This window comes from Homo sapiens, chromosome 11 (assembly GCF_000001405.40).
Source record: "Homo sapiens chromosome 11, GRCh38.p14 Primary Assembly".
In the NCBI taxonomy this organism is placed as follows: domain Eukaryota; kingdom Metazoa; phylum Chordata; class Mammalia; order Primates; family Hominidae; genus Homo; species Homo sapiens.
In genome coordinates, this window is record NC_000011.10 from 5,044,987 (window position 1) to 5,055,147 (window position 10,161).

Genomic DNA, 10,161 nt, shown 5'->3' on the forward strand with positions numbered 1-10,161 from the left:
CATTGAAATAAGTGAGAAATGATCAAGGGTTGCTGAGCTTGCTGGGCTTGATATTGATCAGGTAGTACAATTTCTGACTCTAATGGAATAAAAATCCTTTGAAACTCTTAAATGGAGATTGAAAATTTAAAAACGATCTAGAAGACCCATGGAATAGATGTATTTATTCAAAGCAATTATATAGTTTATTGGTAAAATATATGTTCTGCCTTTCCTATGGGTTATAAGGAATAAAATGGACTTCTGTAGAAATACAGCTTATTTCTTTCTCTCTCCTTTTCTCTCTCTTTCTTGCTCTCTATATCTCTACCCCCCTCCACACCTCAGAATGGGTATATTATTTATTTTATTTTTTATCTTGATGTATTTTCCACTTTGACATACTTGTCAGAAATATGGAGCTACATAAATGGTGAAACAGGAGTCTGTGCTACTTTCTTCTATCCTGAACCACTCTGCCACAAGTTGGAGACCCACAGAAGTTTGATTTCATTATTTCAGCTTATGAGTGGTTGCTTCTTCATAATTTCAAAAGCATTGAAAGAGCACCCTTATATATTTCCTTTAGAAAATTACAGAAAGTAATTTTATCTGCAAATAGACCTTTTTATTCCAGTTTTGTGTCATCAAAAACATCTTCTCCAAATACATAACCAAAGGAGTCTTCTAGGTTGTCTCTACCTACCTGAAAAGTGACTTAATCAGGCAGGAGGTATAAACCCAGTATATACTAGTTAGAGAACTAATATAGAGTGAAGAGTAAATGATGCTTTCAAATACCACTAGAAACTACCATCACTATAGAAATCCAAAATGAGCCACCGAAAAATTTGTTGCTCTTGAGAAAGTACTTTAATCAGTGAAAATCCTCAACAGGTTTATTATTTTCTTTCTGAGCTCTTTCATGTGTGGTGGTATGTGACCCAGCCTGTGTTTGCTCCTGGGGCAAGCATTCCAGGGTGTTTACGCTTTTGTTTGTTATATCTACATTTCTCATGTTATCTTTCTGTCTTTTTGATAGGATATTAGGCTTAATCTTGGCATGTGCCCTACATCAATAAATGATTAACAAATCATTAGAAGAACTTTTGCAGTTTTTAATTATAAAAATATGTGTACATCTGTGTCTGTAACTTCATGTCCTCATTAGTCTGTCTCCTCCTGAATTAATCGGCATTTCGCTTGTGTGTATCTTTGATTTTTCAGGCATTCCTCTTCAACCAAGGGACTAATAAAGGGTACAGGGCATCTTCAATTATTCCAGTTAAATATCAGACTCTATGTCATAGAATCCTTCAATTTTTAATGTGTAAGTTTACACATTATACTACAATCATTATGTAAACATAAGAATTAAGTTATTTGAGACTGATCTATTCAAATGACTGTAGATTACAAAACACAGTAACAGGACCCTCCAAATAACCTTTTCTTTTTGCTCTGCATATACTGAATGAAACACAAACTTCTTATTCAATCTTCTCTCCCCAGCTGCTGCTTCTACATGTGGCAAGTTCTCCTACACTGTGATTTGGAAAAATGTTTTATCACAACAAGAGCATATTTCACCCAGTCACATTTTTCCTCATTGGAATCCCAGGTCTGGAAGACTTCCACATGTGGATCTCCGGGCCTTTCTGCTCTGTTTACCTTGTGGCTTTGCTGGGCAATGCCACCATTCTGCTAGTCATCAAGGTAGAACAGACTCTCCGGGAGCCCATGTTCTACTTCCTGGCCATTCTTTCCACTATTGATTTGGCCCTTTCTACAACCTCTGTGCCTCGCATGCTGGGTATCTTCTGGTTTGATGCTCACGAGATTAACTATGGAGCTTGTGTGGCCCAGATGTTTCTGATCCATGCCTTCACTGGCATGGAGGCTGAGGTCTTACTGGCTATGGCTTTTGACCGTTATGTGGCCGTCTGTGCTCCACTACATTACGCAACCATCTTGACATCCCAAGTGTTGGTGGGCATTAGCATGTGCATTGTAATTCGTCCCGTTTTACTTACACTTCCCATGGTCTATCTTATCTACCGCCTACCCTTTTGTCAGGCTCACATAATAGCCCATTCCTACTGTGAGCACATGGGCATTGCAAAATTGTCCTGTGGAAACATTCGTATCAATGGTATCTATGGGCTTTTTGTAGTTTCTTTCTTTGTTCTGAACCTGGTGCTCATTGGCATCTCGTATGTTTACATTCTCCGTGCTGTCTTCCGCCTCCCATCACATGATGCTCAGCTAAAAGCCCTAAGCACGTGTGGCGCTCATGTTGGAGTCATCTGTGTTTTCTATATCCCTTCAGTCTTCTCTTTCCTTACTCATCGATTTGGACACCAAATACCAGGTTACATTCACATTCTTGTTGCCAATCTCTATTTGATTATCCCACCCTCTCTCAACCCCATCATTTATGGGGTGAGGACCAAACAGATTCGAGAACGAGTGCTCTATGTTTTTACTAAAAAATAAGACTCTTACCATGTTATTTTACTAAGGGCTTTGATCCTTCTATAAAGACCGATATGTTCTTGCCTTAAGGAATATCTCCTGATCCTTAACTTATTGCTGTCAACTTGCAATACAAGTTGGTTTGTTCCTGGATGCTGACTAATAATGGATTTTAAAACTGTCAGAAACATCATTGTAGTTGAAGTTCAAAGACTGACCAACTATCCTGGAAGGGATATCCTGGGAGAGAACTGTGGGGCCTTTGACTGCATGACCTTGTGAAGAATGCTTGTTAGCACAGGCTGCTGCTTTTCTGGGGAAAGAACATATTTTACTGAGTGTTTTTTGACTAGTGATGAGAGATATGTGGCACTGGAAATTTACCCTGTAAACTACTTTATTTATTCCTTTAATCTTTCTTTCCTTATTTTCTTCCTTTCTTTCTTTTTTCCTTTTATTCTTTTTCTCTTACTTCTGTTTATTCATGCATCATGCATTTTATGATTCCTTTAATTTATATTCATTCAATGTCTGGCCCTATGGAGCTTGCATTCTGTTGTCCTCTTACAAAGCAAATTTCACGGGTTCAAAACAATCTTTGCCAAATCTGTAGCTTCAAGTGGAATCATATGCCAAAGACATGACACTCAGTGCAATGATAGCCAAAACAAACACACAATTTCAAAACTATTTATCAGTAATACCAGCATAACTTATCACTGATTGCTTTTCGGAATTCATGACCATAACATAAGCACCAGTTAGGTATAGCATTTTTACGTCTGTGATATGTGGAGGTCTTTGCCTATCACTTTTTCCAGTATTCTCTCAATCTATATTTGACCCTAAAAGACTCTATTTCAAAATCCAAGACCTCTCTTTCCAACCTGTAATCTGTCATTTGTTCTCCCACAGACTTTAATATAGACTATGTCATATCTAGCTATGGATAGCCACATTTCACATGATGCTGAAGGTTTTCAATTTATTTAATAAGATTTCCAAAGACCAAGCAATTAATTACCTTTTGAATTATCAAACTTGTCACATTGTTTTTTACAATTATACTCATTTTGTCTTATGTAGGTTATTAAAAATATAAAGCAAAAATGTAACAAATAGCTTTGTTCCTGATACCAAAAATTAACAACTTTTTATATTGCGCTCATCTCAAAGAGGATGTTTAAATAACATGCACACAGCATGAAAGCTAATATCACCTTTAACACTGCCCCAGCAGATTTCTCTCCCAATTTCCAGAGGCAAAGGCTAGCATGTGTGTTTTCTGATTTCACATTGCAAATTTTTAGATTTACAACCAATCACAGTATTTTTGTTAATCATTTGTTATTTGTTTATATAGATTAATGTACTCCATGTTTTGTTTTGTAACATTGATTTCATTTATATTTTTATTTTCTAATAGATAATTCATCTTATTATTTTTAATTACAAAACATGCTGCACATCTTTGTATTTATTTGTTTCTACATTTTAAGTTAATTTATCCAGGTTTTATTCTTTAAAGTAGAATTCTTAGGTAGCAGGTTTACAACCCATCAGAACATATTTCTGCTTTCTTGATATTTGTTTTTTAATCACTTTCTGATTTTACATTTCCTGTTGCTTTCCTTTTTTTTCACTTTCATGATTCTTGTTATTTTAGTTCCCTTTATGAATAAAAAATTTCCTCCACTGATATTTAAAAATTGCATATCCGTTATCTGTTTTTCTATTGGGTATTATTAAAAAATTAACCTCACCAATTTCATCTTTCTTTTTTTCTAATAAAAACTAATTTGTAACTACCCTACTCTGAAGAAACAAACATATTAATCCTCTTTTAACTTTTGCTATTTTTCTTCTACATCTATCTCGCTCATGTTGCTGCCATCTGGAATCTTACTTGCAGGTTTAAAAATAGAAATAAAAACACTAAAATATATATATATGTTTTTTTTCAAATTTTATTTTATTTTAGCTTCAGATGGAACATGTGCAGGTTTGTTGCATAAGTATAGTGAATATTGCTGAGGTTTAGGCTTTTAATTATCTTGTCACCCATGTAGTGAACATAATAGCTGATAGGTAGTTTTTCAACACTTGCCTCCGTCTCTTCCTCCCCTCTTTTGGAGTTTCCAATGTTTATTGTTCCCATCTTTCTGTCCATGTGACCCAGTGCTTAGCTTTCACTTATGAATCAGAACATGCAATATTTGCTTTTGTGTTTCTTCATTAATTCGATTAGGATAATGGCCTCCAGCTGCATCCATGTTGCCGCAAAGGACATAATTTTGTACGTTTTATGCTGTGTACTATTCCATTGTGTATATGTATGCATCACATTTCATTTATCTCATCTGCTGTTGATGAACCCCTGGGTTGATTCTGTATCTTTGCTGTTGTGAATAGTGCTGCAATAAACATACAAGTGCAGGTGTCTTTTTGGTGAACAATTTATTTTCCTTTGAGTATAAGGACACATCTAATATTCCCCACCCCAGCCATGATGCCAGACACAACAGCCCCCACATTTTAGCCAATTACCTCCTGTTCTGGTAATAACTGATTATAATTTTATGTCTAAATGTGTCTTCACTTACTTTTATAATTTAATAACAGGACAAAGGTTTATAGAACTTTGGAACAAAGTTTTATTCTATCCACTTTCTAAATTAATTGTTCAACTTTTTTTTTCTAGCAAGTAGTTCTGTAATGAAAAAATATAATTCCAAACATTTTTCATGCTTTTGAAATATTTTTTCTCTGTTCTTTGGAAAACATTTTGATGTTATAATATTTCATTTTATTGAGTGTAGCTTTGTAATTTTTTTAATAAATAATGTTTGGTATTCTGTAGGTCCTTATATTCTGAAACTCTATCTTCCATGATGTGATTATCACACATTGAATGCCTGTATCAAAACATCTCATGTACCCCATAAACATATACACCTACTATACATAGCCACAAAATTTTCCAAAAAAAAGGAAACAATTAAAAATATTAAAATTAATCAAGCACTTTTACTTCCTAAGCATAAAAAAATCAGAGTACCTGGAATAGCTGGAATAATTTTCAAAATAAACATAATAAAGTGAAACTATCAGTTTTTCTGTTTTAATACTTTTTTATTGTTATAATTATCAAGTCTATGTGGTAGTGGCAGGAGGATAGAGACACAGATAAATTGAAAGTACTAGAAAAACCAGAAATAAGCCTGTAAAATATGACCATTTGATTTTTAATACAACTTGATTGAGATAAAATTAACACATCCTATATTTTACCTATTTAAATATACAATTAAATGAACTTTAGTATATTCAGAGAGTTTCGCTGCTGCACTGCAATTGATATAGGATTTGTTCATGACCTCGAAGTGAAATATCATACCTATTTATCAGTCAATAATGTTTCCAGCTCTAGAAAACCATGAATCCACTTTCTGTGGTCTATTAATTTGTCTCTTCTGAACATTTCAAATAAAAAGACTCATGTAAAATGTGTGACTTCTATCACACATCATGCAGTATGTTTTCTATTCCCAACCATATTGTAGCGTGCATCAGACCTTTATTCCTTTTTATTGATGCATAATATCTAATTGTACAGTTATACTATATTTTATGTATACAGTCATCAATTGATGGACATTTAGGTTATTTTCAAGGCTTGGCTACTATGAGTAATACTTCTATGGACGTTTGTATACAACCTTTTGCATGACATGTGTTTTCAGTTCTCCAGGGTATATACATAGAAGTGGAATTGTTAGGTTGTGGAAAATCTGTGTTTAGCAAATTGGGAAATAGAAATTAAAACCGCCATGAGCTATCACTACCAACCTATCAGAAGGACTAAAATTAAAAAGAATATATAGGAGGAAACAGCAAATGCTGGCAAAAATGTAGAGAAACTTGATCACTCTTACATTGCTGGTGTGAATTTAATTGGGCCGCCCTTTGGGAAAACAGTTTGACAACTTTTCCAAACCAAATGTGTAATTAATATATGAACCAACAATTGCACCCACGGGTATTCATATCAGAGAAATGAAAACTTATGTGCACATGAATTCCTGCACAAAATGCTTACCGTTGCTCTGTTAATAATTGCCAAACAATGGAAACAATCCAGACATCCTTCAGTGAATGAATGTTCAACTGCATCAACACATTATTGATATACACAACTGGGATGCATCCTCAGATAGTTATGCTGAGTGAAAAAAGCTTTCATACAGTATGATTCCATTTATGTAACATTATTTAGATTATGAAATTATTGAAAAAAAAATTGATTCGTGGTTTTCAGGATGTAAGGCCAAGGGAGTGGGTCAGGCATGGTAAGGACGTGACTGTGCCTGTAAAAAACAACTTAAGACATCCTTGTGGTGATGTAAATCTTCTGTATCTTCAATGTCCCAATGTTGGTATCATGGCTGTGATGTTGCTTTGCGAGATATCAGTTGGGAGAAAACTAGGAAAAGGCTACATACGGTCACTCTGTATTTCTCACAGCTGCATGCAAAATGAAAAGTACCTTATCTTTTATTTTTTTTTAAAAAAAAGCTTATTAGGAAAATAGGTAAAATGTGTACCCCTCTGTGTTTGGGTACAGTGTCTACAAATGTCAATTTGCTCAGGTTGATTGATGGGTGTCATTTATTTCTTCTCTTTCCCTACAGATATTCTACCAACTTGCTCAATCAGTTACTGAGAGTGAAGTGTTAAATTGCTTATATTTGTAGATGTCTTCATATCTCTTTAAAGTCTACTAGTTTTTGAAAAATATATTTTGAACTACTGTTGTTACACAATGCCCTTTAAACTAGTTTTGTTCTGAAACGTATTTTGTCTCATATCAGCATATACTCTTTAGCTTTTCTTTGTTAATTTTTTATGGTAAATCTTTTTCCATTTTTCTACATTTATGATACCTAGGTCTTCATTTTAAATATAGAAAACATATAAGCGGGCCTTGCTTTTTCTCCAATATAATAATCTCTAACTGTTAGTTCATGTATTTAGGCTGTTCATTTTTAATGTGATTATTGATATGTTTAGATTAAAATCTACCAGTTTTCTAGCATTTTCTTACTTATTGGATCTGTTTTTTGTTTCTTTTCCCCTCATTTTCCACTGTGTCTTGGTTTTACTCAACATTTTTAACTGAATCGGTTATCTCCAATACTGAATCATTATTAATATAGTTTTTTCTTAATATTTGCAACATGTAACTTTAATTAAGTATAGTCTATTTTCAAATACTATACTGCCTCATGCACAGTGTAAGAACCTTACCATACTATATTCCTAACTCTTCCTTTTCATTTTTAGTGTTGCCATTTTATACACATCATATAATTTTACTATTAAGTTTTACATCATATAGAATATTATATAAACGATATACAGGCATGCACTGCAAAATGACATTTCAGTCAAGTACAAATCTCATATAAAATGGTGGACATCCAGCATGCTAAGGTTAATTTATTATTGAAGAAAAATATTATTTTTTATAAATTTAACATAGCCTAAATATACAATGTTTATCAAGTCTACAGTAGTATACAGTTATGTCCTAGGCCCTCACATTTACTCAACACTTCACATTCTTTCACCCACTGACTCACTCAGAGCAATTTCCAGTCCTTCAAGTTCCATTTGTGGAAGTGTCCTATAAGGGTGTACCACCTTTTTATCTTTTATATTGTATTTTTGCTGTACTTTTTTAAATGTTTAGACATATTCAGAGACACAAATACTTACCACAGTCTTACAATTGCCTACAGTAGTCAGTACTGTACATGCTGTACAAGTTTGTGGCCTAAGAGCAATAGGCTTTCCCACATATCTTAAGTCTGTAGTAGGCTATACCATCTAGTTTTGTGTAAGTACACTCTATAACGTTCACACAACAATGAAGTTGCCTAATGATGCACTTCTGAGGCTGTATCCCCATTGTTGAGCACACATGATTGTAATATAAAATATTATAAAGTCATTTTATACTGATAACATTTTTTTTTATTTCTACAGCCACTTATCTTTAAGAGCAGCATTGGCAAACTATAGACCACCACCTCCTTTTGTGAGTAGTTTTATTGAAACAGAGATATGCTCACTTACTTTTACATTATATATGCCTCTCTTTGCATTTCAGTGATAGAGTTAAATAAAACCATATGGCCATAGAATTGCAATAGAAACCATATGACCTTGAAAACTCCACAATAATTAATCTCGCCCTTTATAGTATGTATACGGAACTCCATTTCAGCTACATTCAAAATAAGAAAGTAATTAGTTTTAAGTTCAATCATTTCATCACTGCACATGAAGTTCTAGAGTCTCTATCTTCTTGAATAGAGGGACCTAGTCTGGCAAAGCAGCTGCAATTATAGCTACCATCTGTTTAATTTTATTAATTGTGTTGTGATTATCTAACAAATACTATGAAAAAAATAATTGTGTGTATGATTACTTTCACCATGTTGCTAGTCTCCAACTCCTGAGCTCAAGGGATCTGCCTTCCTTGACCTCCCAAAGTGCTGGGATTACAGGTGTGAGCCACTGCACCACCTGGCCTGGTTTTTTGTTTGTTTGTTTGTTTGTTTTTTTGAGACGGAGTCTCACTCTGTCACCCAGGCTGGAGTACAGTGGCGCAATCTCAGCTCACTGCAAGCTCCACCTCCCAGGTTCACGCCATTCTCCTGCCTCAGCCTCCCTAGTAGCTGGGACTACAGGAACCTGCCACCGTGCCCGGCTAATTTTTTGTATTTTTAGTAGAGAAGGGATTTCACGGTGTTAGCCAGGATGGTCTCGATCTACTGACCTCGTGATCCACCCGCCTCGGCCTCCCAAAGTGCTAGGATTACAGGCGTGAGCCACCGCGCCCGGCCCTGGTTTTGTATTTTTAAAGCTTGAAGTTCATCACTAGTATATAGAAATAGAATTATTTGTTGAATGTTGATTTCTATCTCCTGAGGTCTTGGTGAACTCATTTAATAGTTTTGATAATTTTTTAATCTTTTATATTTTTTACATGAACAATCTTGTCATCTAGAAATAGGAAGAGTTTTATTTTTTTGTTTATTATCCTTTTCTTAATTTTTTAAAAAAATTTAAGTTCTGGGATACATGTGCAGAATGTGCAAGTTTGTTACCTAGGTATACATGTGCCGTGGTGGTTGGCTGCACCCATTAACCTGTCATCTAGGTTTTAAGCTCCCCATGCATTAGGTACTTGTCCTAATGCTCTCCCTCCCCTTTCCCCCAACCCCCCAACAGGCCCTGGTGTGTGATGTTCCCCTCCCTGTATCCATGTGTTCTCATTGTTCACCTCCCACTTATGAGTGAGAATATGTGGTGTTTGGTTTTCTGTTCCTGTGTTAGTTTGCTGAGAATGATGGTTTCCAGCTTCATTCATGTCCCTGCAAAGGACATGAACTCATTCTTTTTTATGGCTGCATAGTATTCCATGGTGTATATGTGCCACATTTTCTTTATCCAGTCTATCATTGATGGGCATTTGGGTTGGAACCAAGTCTTTGCTATTGTGAATAGTGCTGCAATAAACATACATGTGCATGTGTCTTTATAGCAGAATGACTTATAATCCTTTGGATATATACCCAGTAATGGGATTGCTGGGTCAAATGCTGTTTCTGGTCACTAGAGAAATGTAAATCAAAATCC

General features: G+C 34.8%; 1 protein-coding gene across 1 annotated transcript; it reads left to right on the plus strand.

Moving 5' to 3' along the window:
• The first annotated feature begins 1,539 nt into the window (after positions 1 to 1,539).
• Positions 1,540 to 2,475, plus strand: OR52J3 (olfactory receptor family 52 subfamily J member 3). Its single transcript, NM_001001916.2, has one exon. It carries the CDS (start codon positions 1,540 to 1,542, stop codon positions 2,473 to 2,475), a length of 936 nt encoding a protein of 311 aa, NP_001001916.2.
• The last annotated feature ends 7,686 nt before the right edge of the window (positions 2,476 to 10,161 follow it).